This window comes from Homo sapiens, chromosome 11 (genome assembly GCF_000001405.40).
Source record: "Homo sapiens chromosome 11, GRCh38.p14 Primary Assembly".
NCBI classification, from domain to species: Eukaryota; Metazoa; Chordata; class Mammalia; order Primates; family Hominidae; genus Homo; species Homo sapiens.
In genome coordinates this window covers 25825443-25847594 of record NC_000011.10, presented here as the reverse complement: position 1 = coordinate 25847594, position 22152 = coordinate 25825443, and the positions used below count along the sequence as shown (strand labels likewise).

Below are 22152 nucleotides of genomic sequence, written 5' to 3'. Positions count from 1 at the left end.
TCTAAAGCAGCAACCTGCCTTTCGGCAGCAGGAGGGGTACTCATCCCCATATATTTGCTAGCTTAGCTCCTTCAGGTCTCTGTTTAAATACCACATTATTAGAGATGTCTTCTTTGACCAGCCTAGAGAAAATAGCAGTAACATGTTTAAAGATTCACTCCATATTTTTCTTACATAATTTAGACTGCCTATCATTAATTCCATGTGACAAAACTGTGACTTTTTTGTTTTATCTTTCTTTACAATCTAGGGTAACACTTCCATGAGGATAGGAATTTTGTGTAATTCTTTCCACTGCTTTATCCCAACAACTAGTATCTGGCTTATGGTAGGCATTCAATACATATTTTTTAAATAGTGATATAAGTAAATAGATCTCATTTGCTATTATTATTGTGGCACTCCTTTTTCTCAAAATCTTTCTCCTTCCAGCTCTAGCTACAGGTTTATAATCTAATGTTTGTAAACTCATGGCTCACAAGTTGTATCCAGAAGCAGATGTACTGTTTACAAACATCACAACGGTGATAATCAACAACTGACCTTATAAAATGAGGAAATAAGGCTGCTGTGATGGCTAGAAAATGAAAATTTTAGGGCAAGGGTGACAGGTGGCCTGTAGAGTCAGGACAGTGGGCCTGTGAAAAATCTGAGAGTCAATTAGAAGACAGCCCGGAGCAAGGGTGGTGGGATGAGGGGCATTGAGGTCAGAAAAAAATAGGCAAGAGCAAAATTGCAGAGGCAGAAGGACATGACAAACTGGTGCTATCAGTGAAAAAAAGAAAAATTAGTAGGGAATTGGGGACTGAATTTAAGAGGCAATTATGTCTTTCATAAGCTTGAGGCAGTAGCTAATTGTCTAATTGAGGGGACGAGTGGGCTAACAGGACACTGAAGGAAAAGGTCTCAAGTATTCTTGTAGCTCTTTTGTTGTGGAATGAAAACTTAGGACATTGAGTTCCGTGAAACTGTGGCTGGAGATTGAGATTTTGGATATGTCTACCTAGATAACAAACATCTGTGAGTAGATGAGCTAAGAGAAGGAAGTAAGTTAGCTTACGGAAAAAGAGTAAAAGAAAGAGCCCTGGAAATACACAGAATTTCAGAGCAAAGGAGTAGTATAAAAGTTAGGGAGTCTTGATGCAAAATGCCTGTATCTGAATGCTGGTTCTGGCACTGGCTAGGGAGGTGTCTATGTTCAGTAGCCTATCCTTTCTATCATGTGTCCATTTGTGAAATGATGACTGTAATAATATCTACTTCCAGGGTTGTTGTGAGACCACACAAACTTGTACAAAGCTTGGGGCAAGGCTCATTTACAGAAAGTGGTCAATAGATAATGCCAGGGGGAATTAGGAGAGTAAAATACTTGTTAGTGAGTCAGTTGGAAGTACAAAGTTCAGCAATATCAGTGAAGCCCACATAGGAAAACGATGCAAAGAAAATGAGGTCAGGATAACAAAAAGTGGTTTGAACACCTGATCTGCAGTATCCCAACTGATTCTCACAGTACTATTGAGCACTTGATATACACATCTCAGTTAATTCTCACAGCAATTCTATGTGAGATGAAAGTTACCATCCTTATCTAAATGACGAGACAGAGGCTCATAAATGTTAAATGTGGAGATGAAATTTCAGTTCGGGTCTATATAAATCTAGAGCCCATGCTCTTAATCTCCATCCCACATTTCCTGGAGGGGAAGATGATGCTCAAAGGAGGTTCAAGAGGAGGATGGAGACTGTGTAAGTATCATTCAGTTTGAGTGACAACAAGTTTCTGTTAAGTTCAGGACTACAAAGCAGGTTCCTAAGAATTTGATTAAGAGTAAACAGAGGCTGGGCACATTGACTCATGCCCTTAAATCCTAGCATTTTGGGAGGCCGATGTGGGTGGATCATGAGGTCAGGAGTTTGAGACCAGCCTGAACAATATGGTGAAACCCCGTCTCTACTAAAAAAATACAAAAAGTAGCTGAGTGTGGTGTAATCCCAGCTACTCAGGAGGCTGAGGCAGGAGTATCGCTTGAACCCAGGAGGTGGAGGTTGCAGTGAGCTGAGATCGGGCCATTGCCCTCCAACCTGGGTAACAGAGTGAGACTCTGTCTCAAAAAAAAAAAAAAAAAAAAAAAAAAAAGTAAACAGTGAGGAAATAGAAGGAATTTATGTATGTAGGCAATTCATCTGGGAACTTTAGGAATAAAAGGCAAAATAAATAATAACTGGGGACACTGAAATGTCAAGTACAGCTTACTTAGAGGAGGCAGATAAGAACATGTTTTTAAACTAACAGTAGGAAAAAATGAGAAAGAGCTCTTGGAAATGGACGTTTGAGCAAAGGGAAAAATTGTTAAATAGCAGCTATAAAAGTAAGAGGAGAGAAAACTGGCCAGGGAAACTTGAGTGAAGGAGGGTAGGTTTGGGGGAGAAAGGCAGTACTGAGGCTTTGTTGGATTTTTTGGCTATTACTCCATAAGACAGAAGAATGGAAGATTGTTTCTGTCTACAGCAGACAGACGATTTTTGCAAGTCAATGAATGGAGGGAAATTGGGCTATCACTGTGTATTTGCAAAGGGACACCACAGGACAAGAGACGGAGAGAGGTAGAATTATGGCCCATGGTGTCTAATCTGCATTTCAAAGAAAAGTACAGACGAGTTTCCAGAAATGATGTGACAGCCCTGACACATCCCTGTACTCGGTGTAGTGTAGCCACAGAGAATTTAGACTATGCCCACTGGATATATGTTTCTTGTTTCCTATTGGCACTGTAAAAAATTATTACAAACTTAATGACTTAAAACAACAGTCTTACAATTCTGGAAGTCATAAATTCAAAATCAGTATCAGTGAGCTAAATAAAGTGTTGTCAGGGCTGGTCCTTTCTAGTGACACCAGTGAAAAATCTATTCCTTGCCTCCTCTAGCTTGTAAAAGGGTACTGGCATTTCTTGGCTCCTGAATCACTCCAGTCTCTGCTTCTGTCTTCTCTTTCTTTCTCTTTCCTCTGATTCTCCTGCCTCCCGTTTTTAAGGACATTTGTGATTACACTGGGTCCATCCAGGTAATCTAGCATAATCTCCCACCTAAATATCTTTAACTTAATCACATATGCCAAGTTCCATTTACCATGTGTATTAGTCTGTTCTCAAGCTGCAAATAAAGACATACCCAAGGCTAGGTAATTTATAAATGAAAGAGGTTTAATTGACTCACAGTTCCACATGGCTGGGAGGCCTCACAATCATGGCAGAAGGCAAAGGAGGAGCAAAGTCACATCTTACATGGTGGCAGACAAGAGGACATGTGCAGGGAAATTTCCTTTTATAGAACCATCAGAGCTCATGAGACTTACTCACTATCACGAGAACAGCAAGGGAAAAACCCGTCCCCACAATTCAACTACCTCTCATTGGGTCCCTCCCATGACACCTGGGGATTATTACAATTCAAGGTGAGATTTAGGTGGGGACACAAAGACAAATCATATCACCATGTCAAGCAACTTATTCTATTATTCCAGAGATTAGGGCATGGATGCCTTTGTGGGTGGCTGTAATTTAGCCTATTCTAGTACATCTTTCTAAATTCTTGTGATGGCACAATTCTGGTTGTTTGTAGGGCATTAGAGAAGCTAATGCCGAGACTGCTGAGGGAAGTTAAAACCAGCCAAGTCTCAAAACTGGGCTTTGGACTCTAAGAGCACCAAAAAGATCCTAGAAGAATTCTAGTTTCCATCACAGTGTTTTATAAAAGAAGGATTTATTTTTGATTACATATGAGACAGCTCATGTGTGTAGGCATGGGATGAGGAAGCACCAGGTGCTTTGGCAAGTGGAGAGGGGTCAGGGAGATTTGAGAAACTGCAGACATGAAGTTCTTCTTTGGACCCACTAGCTGGTTATACCTGAAGAAACAGAATTCTCATACATGTATCAACTTCAATTAATCTCCCACATTCCCAAATGAAATCCACTATTTCCTGGATTTCATATACTTTTAAAGTACCTGCACAGAAATTACCTCATTTAATATTCACAACCACTCTAGCAAAGCAAGATTCTTTTTCACTGATGTTTTAAAAATAAAGAAACAGAAGGAAGATTCAAGATTCCACATGATTTTTCCAAGGTTACACGGCTAGCATGTGGTAAAATCCAATCATAATAATATATGTGCTTATATCTCCTGATTCTATCTCTGATTAAATCCCTTGGTCCTCTATTATCAATGCCTTATGTACACCCACAAGTCCCTTCCTTTTGCTTACTTGGGAAATACCAGTTCTTGTCAAATTCAACTCTCAGCTTATTTCCACCTCATTAGTATACCTGGACTTGATTAAGAAAAAACTCATCAAATTGAGGAAGGATCTCATCAAATTCATGACATTTGACCTCAAATATGCCACTGGTGCTGTCCAGAGATTCTGCTTTTCTAATATAACACATTCTTTTTTTCCAGCCTACTGGGTGACTATTTCATGACTCTGACCTCAAACCTTAAAAACTCCTTCTCTTCCAGATTCTTAGGTTCCAATAAGAAGTGAGACAGACCTTTCTCAACCAATGATATTCTTACCTTCACAACATCCTTGTGACTCATTTCTATTTGGCCATGCGAGAATAATTGGCAAAGTAATATGTTTTGGAGTCAAATAGGCTTATACTACAGTCTTGAATCCCCCCACTTACTAGGCATGTGATCTTGGGAAGGTTTTTAGCTTCATTGACACTTAGCTTTCTCAGTTGTATAACCAACTGGGCTGTGAACTGGGCTGTGAATTGTCCAGTGTTTGTTAGGAGTATATCTAAATAAATTGTTCTCAAGTTTGATAGCAGGCATCTCCGGGGCAGGACATCTGAAATTGCTGAGACACCACTTAGGGGAGCAGATGTAAGAAAAAAAATTTAGCTGAATTACCTTCTGTATGTTAGATGAAGACTTGAAATGGATGCAAGCTGTGATGACCCGCACTGGCACTCACATACAAATGCATGCTGTTGAAAAAGAAGATCACTGGATTAGGAGAGGACCTGTCAAGTTTTGGCCTGCAGTACAAATAGGCCTGCCACCTGTTTTTGAAAATAAAGTTTTCTTAGAATACAGCCACATCCATTTACTCCCATTAATGTCTTGAGCTGATTTCTCTTCACAATGGCAGAGTTGAACAGCTGTGACAGAGACTGGATGGCCTTTCAAGTATAAGATACCTACTACCTGGCCCTTTATGAAAAACAAAATTTGACACACCATGGACTAGGAGATAGACAGGTGCAAGTTCTTGTCTCTGCTTTGCAAGTTATTAGCTCTTACTTTGAACAAGAAAAATCCTCTTTTTGCATATTTCTTTCCTTTAAAATAATGGGTTTAGTCTTTTCAGACTATGATAGGCAACATGGTAGGCAGAATTCTAAAATGGTCTCTATGATCACCAGCCACTAGTGCTATGCCCTATTATTATTTCCTCCCGTTGGGTATGGGTGAAGCCTATGCTTTGTATCTAATAACTTGAACATGGCAAAGGTAATGAAATGTCACTTTCTGGATTAGCATTATATGCCAAAGGCAATTGGATGTCACTTTCATGATGACATGACACTGTATAAGATTCCCATCTTAGCAGACAGAAGAGAAGGATTCTCTGATTAGCTTTAAAGAAATGAACAGCCATGAAATAAACCACCAATGGACAGTGCCATGTGGCAGGAAACTGGAGGCTGAGGAACTGAGGACCTCACTCATACAATCACAAGAAAATGAATTCTGCCAACGATCTGAATGAGCTTGGAGCAGATTTTTCCTTTCTCATTTCTAGTTTCATAGCTTGGCTAACACCTTGAGTACAGCATGTTGAGATAGTTACAGAACATCTAGCTAAGTTACCCAGATTTCTGACCCGCAGAGACTGTGAGATAATAAATGTGTATTGCTTTAAGCCACTAATTTTGTAGTAATTTTCTGTGCAGCAATAGAATGCTAACCCAGACACCATTTCACAAAATATGTTTGGGTTTGGACACTATTGCTTTTCTGTCTCTCATAATGTCCTAAAGGCCATGAAAATGAACAGTTTTCTGCTGTGGGGAATGTCATTGAGGTGGGCACATTGCATGCCTTTTATCACATGTACAATTTTGGCACTGTGCTCTCTGGACAATCAGAGCAACTGGATTCTCATTAAAAGAAGAGCTAAAAGAGATGCCACGCTATACAGCTCTCTACAGACATCCTAAGACAGATACAAAATCCTATAGTGTTTGTCATACACACTTTAAAATAGAAGGCATAGGGATGTTTACAGTAACTCGATATCTCTGGTAACATACATAGAGAAAGCAAGTTTTAAAGAAAGTAAGATATAAATAAATGGGAGTTTTTATAACAAATGTTTTGCTTCTCGTATGATGCAGTTGTGAACTCTGAAACAAATGTGGCAAAATAATAACATGGGCTAAATTGCTTCCACTGTCATATTATTTTTCTTGATTCTCTGAAATAGTCTATTGATTTAAAGAAAACAATGAAAATCATAGTGAAGTGAAAGACAATTTCCCACATGCCTTAAAATTGACTTTATATAAATTTCATTTAAGAATCATCCCAAGGTCCCACATAGATGAAGATGTTGTGGTACATGGCATATGGTGGGAAATCTAGTAATCAGATCCACCCCTGACTGTTAGGGAAAGAAGACTGAGGGCCCAATCTCAGGGCACTTTGCCAGAGCCTGTGCTTCAGACACCAGCTACTCCATTTGTATCAGGAACATATTAGAAGATGGTAATAACTCATGCACTTGATGCTCCCTGACCTGTTAATATGGACAAAGTAATTATCAGCAAAAAGGAATTATCAGCATCTCCAGAACTTTTAGTAATAGTTATGTTGCTAAAATTCACAGATATTAACATGCTACTTGGATTCTGAGATGATCTGAACAGAGATTTTATTCGTAATGCCTATCTCCTTGAATACACAGGTTTATAGAAACTATGAAACACACAGGCTGCTAATGTGTCCTCTCCGTGAATATACCAGTGGTGCTGCTTCTCATGATTATCTGCCTCCTCCTGTTAAGGAAAAATGACTATAAAAGGCTACAAATGTTCAGCAAAACTACTTATGTCCCTCAGGGTGAGGAGATCTCTGTGACACTCAGGGAGATTCTCTGCAAAGTCAGTCTACCCTGGGATTATCTAACACCCGTCTACAACACCTGGCATCAGAGATGTGTTAAGTGGCTATATTCTCTTGTGCACAATTTATGTGCCTTCTCAACGTTCCCAGAGAGGACATGGGATAGGGAGGAGCTGGTGAGCTGGGCTTGTGAACAAAGAGAACAGGATCTGTCCTATATTGAACTTATCTGGATAATGGATGAAGTTTTTAACTAGATGCCTGATTATTAATACTGATTTGGCTGTGTAATTTTGCATGTGATTCAGTTGCCTCCATACTAATAAAAAGTATATAACACCTCATATGGTTATTGAATGGCTTAAATGAGATAATTGATATAAAATGCTCAGAATAGTGCCACAAAAAGGGTATATCAAGTGTTAGCTCTAATATTTATTGTTCACTTGTGCCTGTGATTTAAGATCACTTTTCTGAACCTCTGCCTTTACCATGTCAAAAATCTGCAAAGTTTAAATATACTCCAGACTTCCCCGGGAATGGAGAAGGAGATTATTTTACTACTCAATTTGTTCATTAGAATGATTTAGGGAGCTTTTCAAAACATAATAGAAAAACTATTATTTAAAAGCATTACATTTGTAATAATTCTCAAATGACAGTTGTAAAAACGACTGCTAGAGATAATAAAAAAAAATAAAGTTAAGCAATTCCCTGGTCAGTTAAAAGTTGAAGTGTTCTTCATTTGTGATAAATACTGCCTACAAATAAATCTCAAAAATGAACCAGAAGAGTGAGCCTGCTTACTCATAAACCCAGTGATGACAGGTTTTATATTTCAAGTAAATATCAGGTGGAGTCCCTTTATGATAAGAAACAAGAAAGTTGTATCAAAGTTGAAGTGACAGCTGTTTATAAAATCCCTGGGGTAGAGGAAGTGATCCAAATGTACTGGTTTAGCTTGACATTCTTCTAACAGGGTATCAGACTGAGCATTTGTTTGGAAGTCTGTGTGTCTTTGCAAGGAGACACCACTAGGGCATTAATCACACAGAACAGATGAGACTGCTTTCATTCATCGGTCAAGTTGCCTCAGGGCTCCATTTTGAAGTATATTTCATAGTGGTCATATTTTATAATATCCAGGAACCAGGCTGAGACCATAAACCTATACAAGATCAATTTTACACACTCTCATTTATCAGAAGTGAAAGATATCCTAGTTCAGTATTTTCATTAAGGAATATGGAGTACTTGACCTATTTCAGGAATGGGACAAAAACCACCGGTAGCCCGGAGCAGGGGTCCCTAACCCCCGTGCCACAGACATGTACCAGTCCATGGCCTGTGAGAAACCAGGCTGCATAGCAGAAGGTGAGCAGTACAGTGGATGATCACGTGAAGCTGAGTTTCACCTCCTGTCAGATCAGCAACGGTATTAGATTCTCACAGGAGCACAAATCCTGCTGTGAACTGTGCATGTGAGGGATATAGGTTGCATCTCCTTATGAGAATCTAATGATTAAGGTAATGTGCTTGAATCATCTCAAAACCATCACTGTCTCCCCAACCTTGTCTGTGGATAACTTGTCTTCCTTGAAACTGGTGCCAGAAGGTGGGGGACTGCTGGCCTAGAGGACCTGTTTCTGGAAGGTCTTGGTAAGTCCAACTTCCTGGAGTTGGTTGTGAAGACACTAATTTCTGAAATGGTACCAGTTTCTGCTTGTCTAGTCTTAGTACCCAACAGAGGTTTGTCACTCACATTAATCTCCTGTTAGCCCTCTTTCTGTAGCATGACCAGGTGGAGAAGGTGCAGATATCTATTATTAAGAAGAGACTACTGGGGTTTACAGGCTCCCTCTGCTTTCCAGAAACAAAATCACATCCTTTCAGATTATCTTCAGTTATTTAAACCAAGTATTAAAAATAAAATTGAAGATATTACCTTTTATATGCAGTTTAAGATGTTTGAATACATTTACTTAATTTCATGAAAAGTAGAGATAAATATTATTTTAAGTCCCTTAAAATGAAGGCTAAAGTGACAACACAGTTGCAACAAGCACACCCAGTACCCAGATACTGGTTTCTAAATGCTATTTTTTCAACAAAAGGAGCCAGATGACTTTGAGAAAAGGCCAATTCAGAGTAGGGGGAATATACAAGCTGTGCATGGGCCCTCTTGTAATGTCAAAAGGTAAGGAAGTGCTTACAAAATCATGAGTCATGTTTTATAAGAAACTATTCTTAATGACTTGCTTTTAAAATTTGGTAGAAAGAAAAAAGTTTAACTTTACAGTAGAAAAGCATGACAAGCACTAGCTCACCCAGGTGATCAAGATTAACATCACTAATGACAAGTCATGTTGATAGCACAAACCTTTGATATGATATGATGAGACTGGCTATTCACCTCTGTGGTCTTCCTCCTAAAACCATCTAACCCTGATCTAATCATGAAGAAATACATCAGACAAATTGCAACTGAGGGGCATATAGTAGATATGAAATGTTTCCATCATGGCAAAAAACTCCTTAAGGTGTTGTTGAAGTCAGATTCCCATTCTTAGCTCCAGACAATAACTTATCTGCCGTAACTATAGAATGATCATAATTTCCCTAGAAAATTATATAAATGGAATCTATATGTATATATGACATATATATGTGTATATATAGGGTCTCTCTCTACATATAGCTCAGCAAAATGTTTTTGACATTCATCTGCACAATTGTATATATCAGTAGTACATAAATTTTTATTGCTGAGTAGTATTCTACTGTAAATATATACCACAATTTGTATACTGCAACTATAATTTATTTGACCATTTTTTATTTCATGGACATCTGCACGGTTTCTACTTTTTCATTATTGCAAATAAATATGCAATGGGAAGTTATGAATGGCTGTTTATACTTTTATGTTAGTTTACATGAATAATTGCTTACAAGTAGAATTTCTGGGATACATGCTTAGTGCCTGAAAACATTTAGGAGAAACTGACAAAATTGTTTTCACAAATGGTTGTACTATTTTTTTTATTATACTTTAAGTTCTAGGGTACATGTGCACAAGGTGCAGGTTTGTTACATATGTATACATGTGCCATGTTGGTGTGCTGCACCTATTAACTCCTCACTTACATTAGGTACATCTCCTAATGCTATCCCTCGCACCTCACCCCACCCCATGACAGGCCCCGGTGTGTGATGTTCCCCTTCCCATGTCCAAGTGTTCTCATTGTTCAATTCCCACCTATGAGTGAGAACATACGGTGTTTGTTTTTTTGTCCTTGCGATAGTTTGCTGAGAATGATGGTTTCCAGCTTCATCCATGTCCCTACAAAGGACATGAACTCAACCTTTTTGTGGCTGCACAGTATTCCATGGTGTATATGTGCCACATTTTCTTAATCCAGTCTATCATTGATGGACATCTGGGTTGGTTCCAAGTCTTTGCTCTTGTGAATAGTGCTGCAATAAACATACGTGTGCATGTGTCTTTATAGCAGCATGATTTATAATCCTTTGGGTATATACCCAGTAATGGGATGGCTGGGTCAAATGGTATTTCTAGTTCTAGATCCTTGAGGAATTGCTACACTGACTTCCACAATGGTTGAACTAGTTTACAGTCCCACCAACAGTGTAAAAGTGTTCCTATTTCTCCACATCCTCTCCAACACCTGTTGTTTCCTGACTTTTTAATGATTGCCATTCTAACTGGTGTGAGATGGTATCTCATTGTGGTTTTGATTTGCATTTCTCTGATGGCCAGTGATGATGAGCATTTTTCATGCGTCTGTTGGCCACATAAATGTCTTCTTTTGAGAAGTGTCTGTTCATATCCTTTGCCCACTTTTTGATGGGGCTGTTTTTTCTTGTAAATTTGTTTCAGTTCTCTGTAGATTCTGGATATTAGCCCTTTATCAGATGAGTAGATTGCAAAACTTTTCTCCCATTCTATAGGTTGCCTGTTCACTCTGATGGTAGTTTCTTTTGCTGTGCGGAAGCTCTTTAGTTTAATTAGATCCCGTTTGTCAATTTTGGCTTTTGTTGCCATTGCTTTTGGTGTTTTAGACATGAAGTCCTTGCGATGCCTATGTCCTGAATGGTATTGCCTAGGTTTTCTTCTAGGGTTTTTATGGTTTTAGGTCTAACATTTAAGTCTTTAATCCATCTTGAATTAATTTTTGTATAAGGTGTAAGGAAGGGATCCAGTTTCAGCTTTCTACAAATGGCTAGCCAGTTTTCCCAGCACCATTTATTAAATAGGGAATCCTTTCCCCATTTCTTGTTTTTGTCAGGTTTGTCAAAGATCAGATGGTTGTAGATGTGTGGTATTATTTCTGAGGGCTCTGTTCTGTTCCATTGGTCTGTATCTGTTTTGGTACCAGTACCATGCTGTTTTGGTTACTGTATCCTCGTAGCATAGTTTGAAGTCAGGTAGCGGGATGCCTCCAGCTTTGTTCTTTTGGCTTAGGATTGACTTGGCAATGTGGACTATTTTTTGGTTCCATATGAACTTTAAATTAGTTTTTTCCAATTCTGTGAAGAAAGTCATTGGTAGCTTGATGGGGATGGCATTGAATCTATAAATTACCTTGGGCAGTATGGCCATTTTCACGATATTGATTCTTCCTATCCATGAACATGGAATGTTCTTCCATTTGTTTGTGTCCTCTTTTGTTTCATTGAGCAGTGGTTTGTAGTTCTCCTGGAAGAAGTGCTTCACATCCCTTGTAAGTTGGATTCCTAGGTATTTTATTCTCTTTGAAGCAATTGTGAATAGGAGTTCACTCATGATTTGGCTCTCTGTTTGTTATTGGTGTACAAGAATGCTTGTGATTTTCGCACATTGATTTCGTATCCTGAGTCTTTGCTGAAGTTGCTTATCAGTTTAAGGAGATTTTGGGCTGAGACGATGGGTTTTTCTAAATATACAATCATGGCATCTGCAAACAGGGACAATTTGACTTCCTTTTTTCCTAATTGAATACCCTTTATTTCTTTCTCCTGTCTGATTGCCCTGGCCAGAACTTCCAACACTATGTTGAATAGGAGTGGTGAGAGAAGGCATCCCTGTCTTGTGCCAGTTTTCAAAGGGAATGCTTCCAGTTTTTGCCCATTCAATATGATATTGGCTGTGGGTTTCTCATAGATAGCTCTTATTATTTTGAGATAGGTCCCATGAATACCTAATTTATTGAGATTTTTTAGCATAAAGGGCTTTTGAATTTTGTCAAAGGCCTTTTCTGCATCTATTGAGATAATCATGTGGTTTTTGTCTTTGGTTCTGTTTATATGCTGAATTACTTTTATTGATTTTCATATGTTGAACCAGCCTTGCATCCCAGGGATGAAGCCCACTTGATCATGGTGGATAAGCTTTTTGATGTGCTGCTGGATTCAGTTTGCCAGTACTTTATTGAGGATTTTTGCATCAATGTTCATCAGGGATATTGGTCTAAAATTCTCTTTTATTTGTGGTGTCTCTGCCAGGCTTTGGTATCAGGATGATGCTGGCCTCATAAAATGAGTTAGGGAGGATGTCTTCTTTTTCTATTGATTGGAATAGTTTCAGAAGGAATGGTACCAACTCCTCCTTGTACTTCTGATAGAATTTGGCTGTGGATCCATCAGGTCCTGGACTTTTTTTGGTTGTTAGGCTATTAATTATTGCCCCAAATTCAGAGCCTGTTTTTGGTCTATTCAGGTATTCAACTTCTTCCTCGTTTAGTCTTGGGAGGGCGTAGGTGTCCAGGAATTTATCCATTTCTTCTAGATTTTCTAGTTTATTTGCGTAGAGGTGTTTATAGTATTCTCTGATGGTAGGTTGTATTTCTGTGGGATATGTGGTGATATCCCCTTTGTCATTTTTCATTGCGTCTATTTGATTCTTCCCTCTTTTCTTCTTTGTTAGTCTCGCTAGTAGTCTATAAATTTTGTTGATCTTTTCAAAAAACCAGCTCCTGGATTCATTGATTTTTTGAAGGGTTTTTTGTTTCTGTATCTCCTTCAGTTCTGCTCTGATTTTAGTTATTTCTTGCCTTCTGCTAGATTTTGAATGTGTTTGCTCTTGCTTCTTTAGTTATTTTAATTGTGATGTTAGGGTGTCAATTTTAGATCTTTCCTGCTTTCTCTTGTTGGTATTTAGTGCTATAAATTTCCCTCTACACACTGCTTTAAATGTGTCCCAGAGATTCTGGTATGTTGTGTCTTTGTTCTCATTGGTTACAAAGAACATCTTTATTTCTGCCTTCATTTCGTTATGTACCCAGTAGTCATTCAGCAGCAGGTTGTTCAGTTTCCATGTAGTTGAGCAGTTTTGAGTGAGTTTCTTAATCCTGAGTTCTAGTTTGATTGCACTGTGGTCTGAGAGACAGTTTGTTATAATTTCTGTTCTTTTACATTTGCTGAGGAGTGCTTTACTTCCAACTATGTGGTCAATTTTGGAATAAGTGTTATATGGTGCTGAGAAGAATGTATATTCTGTTGATTTGGGGTGGAGAGTTCTGTAGATGTCTATTAGGTCCACTTTGTGCAGAGCTGAGTTCAATTCCTGGATATGCTTGTTAACTTTCTGTCTCATTGATCTGTCTAATGTTGACAGTGGGGTGTTAAAGTCTCCCATTATTATTGTGTTGGAGTCTGAGTCTCTTTGTAGGTCTCTAAGGACTTACTTTATGAATCTAAGTCCTCCTGTATTGGGTGCATATATATTTAGGATAGTTACCTCTTCTCACTGAATTGATTCCTTTACCATTATGTAATGGCCTTCTTTGTCTCTTTTGATCTTTGTTGGTTTAAAGTCTGTTTTATCAGAGACTAGGATTGCAACCTCTGCCTTTTTTTGTTTTCCATTTCCTTGGTAGATCTTCCTCCATCCCTTTATTTTGAGCCTATGTGTGTCTCTGCATGCGAGATGGGTCTCCTGAATACAGCACACTGATGGGTCTTGACTCTATCCAATTTGCCAGTCTGTGTCTTTTAATTGGAGCATTTAGCTCCTTTATATTTAAGGTTAATATTCTCATGCGTGAATTTGATCCTGTCCTTATGATGTCAGCTGGTTATTTTGCTCATTAGTTGATGCAGTTTCTTCCTAGCATCGATGGTCTTTACAGTTTGGCATGTTTTTGCAGTGGCTGGTACCAGTTGTTTCTTTCCATGTTTAGTGCTTCCTTCAGGAGCTCTTTTAGGGCAGGCCTGGTGGTGACAAAATCTCTCAGCATTTGTTTGTCTGTAAAGGATTTTATTTCTCCTTCTTTTATGAAGCTTAGTTTGGCTGGATATGTAATTCTGAGTTGAAAATTGTTTTCTTTAAGAATGTTGAATATTGGCCCCCACTCTCTTCTGGCTTGTAGAGTTTCTGCCAAGAGATCAGCTGTTAGTCTGATGGGCTTCCCTTTGTGGGTAACCCGACATTTCTCTCTGGCTGCCCTTAACATTTTTTCCTTCATTTCAACTTTGGTGAATCTGACCATTATGTGTCTTGTAGTTGCTCTTCTCGAGGAGTATCTTTGTGGCGTTCTCTGTATTTCCTGAGTTTGAATGTTGGCCTGCCTTGCTAGGTTGGGGAAGTTCTCTGGGATAATATTCTGCAGAGTGTTTTCCAGCTTGGTTCCATTCTCCCCATCACTTTCAGGTACACCAATCAGACATAGATTTGGTCTTTTCACATAGTCCCATATTTCTTGGAGGCTTTGATCGTTTCTTTTTACTCTTTTCTCTCTGAACTTCTCTTCTTGCTTCATTTCATTCATTTGATTTTCCATCACTGATACCCTTTCTTCCAGTCGATTGAATCAGCTACTGAAACTTGTGCATTCGTCACATAGTTCTCGTGCCATGGTTTTCAGCTCCATCAGGTCATTTAAGGACTTCTCTACACTGGTTATTCTAGTTAGCCATTCATCTAATCTGTTTTCAAGGTTTTATCTTCTTTGCGGTGGGTTTGAACTTCCTCCTTTAGCTCAGAGAAGTTTGATCATCTGAAGCCTTCTTCTCTCAACTCATCAAAGTCATTCTCTGTCCCACTTTGTTCCGTTGCTGGCAAGGAGCTGTGTTCCTTTGGTGGGGGAGAGGCACTCTGATTTTTAGAATTTTCAGCTTTTCTGCTCTATTTTTCCCCCATCTTTGTGGTTTTATCTACCTTTGGTCTTTAATGATGGTTACGTACAGATGGGGTTTTGGTGTGGATGTCCTTTCTGTTTGTTAATTTTCCTTCTAACAGTCAGGACCCTCAGCTACAGGTCTTTTGGAGTTTGCTGGATGTCCACTCCGACCGTGTTTCCCTGGGTATCAGCAGCAGAGGCTGCAGAACAGCGAATATTGCTGAACAGCATATGTTGCTGCCTGATCGTTCCTCTGGAAGCTTTGTCTCAGAGGGTTCCCGGTCGTGTGAGGTGTTGGTCTGCCCCTTCTGGGGGGTGCCCCCCAGTTAGGCTACTCGGGGGTCAGGGACCCATTTGAGGAGGCAGTCTGTCCTTTCTCAGACCTCAAACTCTGTGCTGAGTGAACAACTACTCTCTTCAAAGCTGTCAGACAGGGACATTTAAGTCTGCAGAGGTTTCTGCCACTTTTTGTTCGGCTATGCCCTGCCCCCAGAGGTAGAGTCTACAGAGGCAGGCAGGCCTCCTTGAGCTGCTGTTGGCTGCACCCAGTTCGAGCTTCCTGGCTGCTTTGTTTACCTATTCAAGCCTCAGCAATGGCGGGCACCCCTCCTCCAGCCTCGCTGCCGCCTTGCAGTTTGATCTCAGACTGCTGTGCTAGCAATGAGCGAGGCCCTGTGGGCATGGGACCCTCTGAGCCAGGCGCAGGATATAGTCTCCTGGTGTGCTGTTTGCTAAGACCATTGGAAAAGCGCAGTATTAGGCTGGGAGTGACCCAATTTTCCAGGTGCCGTCTGTCACCGCTTCCCTTGGCTAGGAAAGGGAATTCCTACCCCTTGAGCTTGCTGGGTGAGGTGATGCCTCGCCCTGCTTCGGCTCACGCTCAGTGGGCTGCACCCACTGTCCCTCCCCCACTGTCCGACAAGCCCCAGTGAGATGAACCCAGTACCTCAGATGGAAATGCAGAAATCACCCGTCTTCTGCGTTACTCATGCTGGGAGCTGTAGACTGGAGCTGTTCCTGTTCGGCCATCTTGGAACCTCATGCCAGTTGTACTATTTTTAATTATCATCAGAAAAATGGGAAAGTTTGGGGTTCGAATCAATGTCGCCACTGTATTTTCTGTTCCATCAGTCTATCTTTGTATTTTTATGCCAATTCCACAGTCTTGATTAATGCAGATTTATGGTAAATATTGAATTCAAATAGAATAAGGCCATTAATATTCCTTTTCAATTTTCCTTTGCTATTTAATTTTAGGTATATTTCCATTAAATTCTGGAATGAATATATCAGTTTCTACACAAGTTCCCCAAATATTGTTAGTTTGAAATAAACATTTATCAACTTGGAGAGAAAGGGCATCTGCTATCATCTGAATGTGTTTCCCTCAAATGCATAGTTTGGAAACTTAATTCCCAGTGCAACAGTGTTGGAAACTGGGACCTAATGGTAGGTGTTTAGGTCATGAGGGCTCTACCCTCATGAATAGATTCATACAAATTATAAAAGGGCTTGTGGCTGTGAGTTTAATTGCTTGCTCTTTCTCATGCTTGCCCTTTTGCCCTTCTGCCCTTCTACCTTGTTACAATACAGCTAGAAGGCCCTTCCAAGATCAGCCCCTTGGTCTTAGACTTGCCAGACACTGGAACCATGAGTCAAATAAATTTCTGTTTATGATAAATTACTCATGTATTCTGTTATAAGCACAACACACACACACACACACACACACACACACACACACACACACACACACAAATGGGTACAAGGAAGTGGGATCATTGCCATAAAAAAAAAATCTGAAAATGTGCAGGTAGTTCGGCAACTGGGTAATAGGTAGAGGCTGGAAGAATTTGAAGGGTACTCTGGAAGAAACCCAGATTTTCATAAATGGGGAGTATTAAGGGCAATTCTGGTGAGAGCACAGAGGAAAATTAGAGCTGCAGGGGGAGCGCAAATCTTGTTAGGAACTACAAGCTGTGATCAGAATGTCAGTAGAAATATGGACAGTCAAGGCCATTCTAATTAGATTTGAGAGGAAAATTAGAACCAAGGTATTGGAAACTGGAGTAAAGGCCATACTTGTTATGCAGTTACAAAGAACCTGGTGGAATTGTTTCTATGTTCTTGGATTGTGTGGGGCAGAAATTAGGAATGATTAAGTCAGATATCTGGCAGAACAAATATCTAAGCAGCAAAACATTCAAGGTGCTGCATGGCTTCTTTTGGCTGCTTGCAGCAAAATAAGAGAAGACAAAAATTATTTAAAGACAGAATTTATAACTAAAAGTGAAGCAGAATGAAAAACTTGGAAAAACTCTTAGCATGGCCATATAAAGAATAAAGAAAGCATGTTTAATAAACAATGCTAATGGTTTGGCCAAGCAACCATTTGCTAAAGAGACTGATAGTAATAGAATAAAGCTGGGTTCTATTGATAAAGACAATAAGAAAATGAACCTGAGGCATTTCAGAGGTCTTCCAGGCAAGCCAAGGACCTTAAGGGAAAGCTTTCCAGACAGGGCCGTGCTTTCCATACACTGACACAGCATGCCTTAACTGGCCCCCTGTGGCTTGATTGGGTCCAGGTGCAGCTCAACCCACTGCTCCTGAAGGTGCAGACTGTAAAGGGGTGGCATTCACAGTTTTGTAGGCACACAGAATGCAAGAGCTGTGGAAGCATGGCTTTCTCCTAGATTTCAAAGGATGTCAAGGATAGCCTGGGTGCCCAGGTAGAGACTATCACAGACTGTTACAGGGGCAGGGCTACTGCAGAGAACCCCCCTCAAAACAATGCCCAGTGGGGTTGTGGGGTTGGAACCCCAACAGAGAGTCCCCACTAGGGCAATTTCTGGTGGTAGAATTGTCCTTGAGACCCCAGAATTGTAGAGTTATGAACATGCAACACCGGGAGAACCGCAAAAACAAGACTTTAATCCATAAGAGTTGCTATGTGGCCTGAGTCCAGCAAAGCCATAGGGGTGGACCCTCCAGAGCTTTGAAAACCCAACTCCCACCGCAGTATATCCAGAAGGTGGGATATGGAGTAAAAGAAGATTGTTGAGGAAACTTAAGATTTGACATTGTTTGCATTCTTGAGTATGGACTTATCTGGATCTAGCTATCCTTTGTTTTCTTGTCTTTTAATTCCCTTTGCAATGAAAGTGTCTATCCTACTATTATATTTGGGAAGTAGATAATGTGTTTAATTTTATAGGCTCATGGTGGAGGAAAATTTGACTCAGAGTGAATTGTGCCTTGACTCTTATCTGTATCTGATTTAGATGTGACTTTGAATTTTGGACTTTTGAATGGGCGCTGAAACCTGTTAAGAATTTCAGGATATTGAGATGAAATGATGGAATGAATGTATTTTGAATTTGAGAAGGACATACATTTTATTAGCCTTGGGCAGAATACTATGATTTGATGTGTCTCCCAAAAATCATGTTTTAGGACTTAATCCCCAATGCCTGCAACAGTGTTGAGAGGTGGAACCTAATAGAAATTGTCTAGGTCGGAGGGCTCCTTCCTCATGAATAGATTAATGCCATTATAAAAGGGTCTTTTATAATAGTTTATAAAAGAGGCTGAGTTCAATATCTTGCTCTCGCTGATGCTCTTTTGCCTTTCTCTCCTTCCACCATAAGATGACATAGCAAGAGGGCCCTTACCAGATGTGGTCCCTAGATCTTGAACCTCCCAGCTTTCAGGCTCATGAGCCAAATACCTTTCCACTCATTATAAATTATCCAGTAGCAAGTATTCTGTTATAGCACTGCAAAATGGACTAAGACAGCATTTAAACATTTCATTTAGTCTTTCAATAAGTAAACATCTTATCTCTCTGTATATTTAGATCTTTTTTTAAAAAGTCTTTCAATAGTGTGTTGTTGCACAGCTGTTATAAATATTTTTTTTTCCAATTTACACGAAAGTATTTCAACTTTGGATTATATTATAAATGATAATTTCTCTTAATTTCTAATTTTTCATTGCTAGTATACAGAAACAAAATTAATATTTTTGTTTATCCTGATCTTATCCCTTTGATTTTAAGGAAAGTTTTGTCATTTGTATTACTAATTTTTCAATGTAATTTACATTTGAGATTAATGAGCATGAAGTTACTAATAGTTTATCACTATGGTTTTAATATCTGGAGGGTCAGTAGTAATGTGCCTTCTTATATTTCCTTTTTATTTATTTATTTTTTTTGAGACAGAGTCTCGCTCTGTCGCCCAGGCTGGAGTACAGTGGCGTGATCTCGGCTCACTGCAAGCTCTGCCTCCCAGGTTCATTGCCATTCTCCTGCCTCAGCCTCCCAAGTAGCTGGGACTACGTGCGCTCGCCACCATGCCTGGCTAATTTTTTGTATTTTGTAGTAAGACGGGGTTTCACTGTGTTAGCCAGGATGGTCTTGATCTCCTGACCTTGTGATCCGCCCGCCTCGGCCTCCCAAAGTGCTGGGATTACAGGCGTGAGTGACCGCGCCCGGCCTGCCTTCTAGTATTTCTTAATGTTGGTAACTTGAACCTCCTCTCCTTTTGTTTACATTTTTCTGTCTAGGAAATTATTAATTTTATTGATGTGTATAAACAGCAGCTTATAATTTCATTGTTTTCTTCCTAATATTTTTCTGATTTCTATCTTGTTAATTTCTGCTTTTACCTTTATTATTTCTTATGTATGCTTCATTTGGGTTTACTGTGCTCTTCTTTTTGAAGATTTTTAAGTGAAATTTTATTTATTTATTTATGTACTTATTTGAGACCGGGTCTCACTCTATACCCCAGGCTGGAGTGCAGTGGCATGAACATGGCTCACTGCAATCTTAATCTCCTAAGCTCAAGCAGTCCTCCTACCCCAGACTCCTGAGTAGCTAGGAACACAGGCATATGCCACTACACATGGCTAATTTTTAAAATTTCTGTAGAGTTGTGATCTTGCAATGTTACCTAGGAACATCTCCAACTCCTAGGCTTAAGTGATTCTCTTACCTTGGCTTCCCAGAATGCTGGGATTAGAAGCGTGAGCCACCGCACCTGACCTAGGTGAACTTTTAGATGATTGATCTGCTACACTTCTAATATAACCATGTGTTGCTGTAAATTTCCTTTGGGGTATTGCATTAGATGTATCACACAAATTTAATGTGCTGTGCTTTTATTTCTATTGAGATTAAAATATTTTGTTAAGTCTCCTTATGACTTCTTTGACCATGGTTTATTTGAAAGTATGCTGCCTAATTTGTGATTTTTCCATTTAATTTTAATATATTAGAATGCACTTTTAAATTTACAAATATTTGTTTTATAGCCAAGAAATAGTCGATTTAGATAAATATTCCACGTGCATTTGAAATAAGTAGTGTATTCTAGTATTGTCTGTAATATTCTATAAAAGTCCATTAGGCCAATTTTGTTGATATATGGTTTCAGGCTTCTATATCCTTATTGACAATCAGATTGTTCTGTCAGTTGCAGAAAGAGAATATTAGAATCCTCCATTTGTAATTGTAAATTTGACTAGCTCTTTCAACTCATCATCTTTCACTTTACCTATGTTAAAGTTTCGTTATTAGATATGTGCATTTTATTATTGTTCTGTAAATGTTCTTTATTTCTAGCTATATTTCTAATATATGTTCATATCTATCTGTCTATGTATCCATGCATATATGAAACCAGTTTAGCCCCATTTTTCTGTTGGCTGTCAAAAAATATCAAAAAGATGAATAACTCAACAACCTTGCTCTCATTCTTAGGGATTGAGGGCATATGCAAAAATAATACAAATAGGACATATTAATGTGGAAGAGGGGTGGAAACTCTCCACATGTTCAGTGGAGGAAGTGATTTACTTCCATAAGTGAAAGAATAGTAGGTAAGGAAGGCTTCTGGCAAGAAAAACTGTGTCTGCTGTAATTTTAAAAAATGGTTAGGTCTTTGACTATATGACCAAATGTACAGAAACAGGAGATTTTAGAACACGTAGGTGCGATTCTTTCAAAGTAGTATGAATAAATCATGTGAGAGGGTATAATGCTGAAGAGCCACAAGGTAGTTTTGAAAAGAAGGGGAAAAATAACATTTATTCTATATCCTCCTACCCAGGCATTTTGGTGAGCATTTCATGACAACCCAGAAATAAAATCATGTTTTATTCTTTTACAATGTATAATTAAACTCCTATCAGTGGCTAACCAGTATGCCCAAGGTCGCATATCTGGGATTAACAATAATAATGGAATCACTATATGTGAAGACATAGTGTTCATCAGCATGTTAGTAGACCAGGGGTTGCCACATTATCTATTAATTAGAGTCACCTGGGGATCTTGTTCAATCTCTAAAGCCCAGACTAACTACACTAGACTGGTTAAGCCATGGTAATTGGTGGTGGATGCAGCCATAAGTAATTTTTGAAGCTCCTCATGTGATTCCAATATGCAGGCAAATTTACGAACAGGTGTACCACATCATCTCCTTTGAGCCTCTCAATGTCCGGGACGTAATTTTTACCATTATCCCCATCTTACAGATGAGGAAATGAATGCTTAGATTATAGCAGAAATAGTGGAGCCAGGACTTAAATACAGGTGTTTTATCTCCAGGGTGGCTTCAGTACCTTTCTGTGGTAGTCACAAAGCAGGGTTTTCACTTCTCTACAAAGCAAGACATGTTTAGCGTTATTTTCATGCCATTTGCAGGGGTGCGAATTTCTGTGTAGTAGAAGAAAACAAGTCTTGCTGAATAGATTCATTTTTTAAGAACTAAAATGTCTGCTTATGCATAAATTTCAATGTTGTCTCAATAGTTTATTTTCATCTGTCATTTTCCTGACACCCGTTTCCACTATTTCTGGATTTTTTCTTATGAGAAATGCTTTT

The 22152-nt window shown here is 39.2% G+C and overlaps 1 long non-coding RNA gene across 1 annotated transcript in view; it reads right to left on the bottom strand.

Moving 5' to 3' along the window:
- LINC02699 (long intergenic non-protein coding RNA 2699) overlaps positions 1-22152 on the bottom strand; it is a 470852-nt gene that overhangs the window by 76857 nt on the left and 371843 nt on the right. Inside the window, exon 3 of the long non-coding RNA NR_183694.1 lies at positions 4924-5000. This is a non-coding gene — a long non-coding RNA (long intergenic non-protein coding RNA 2699). The remainder of the gene's footprint in view (positions 1-4923; positions 5001-22152) is intronic.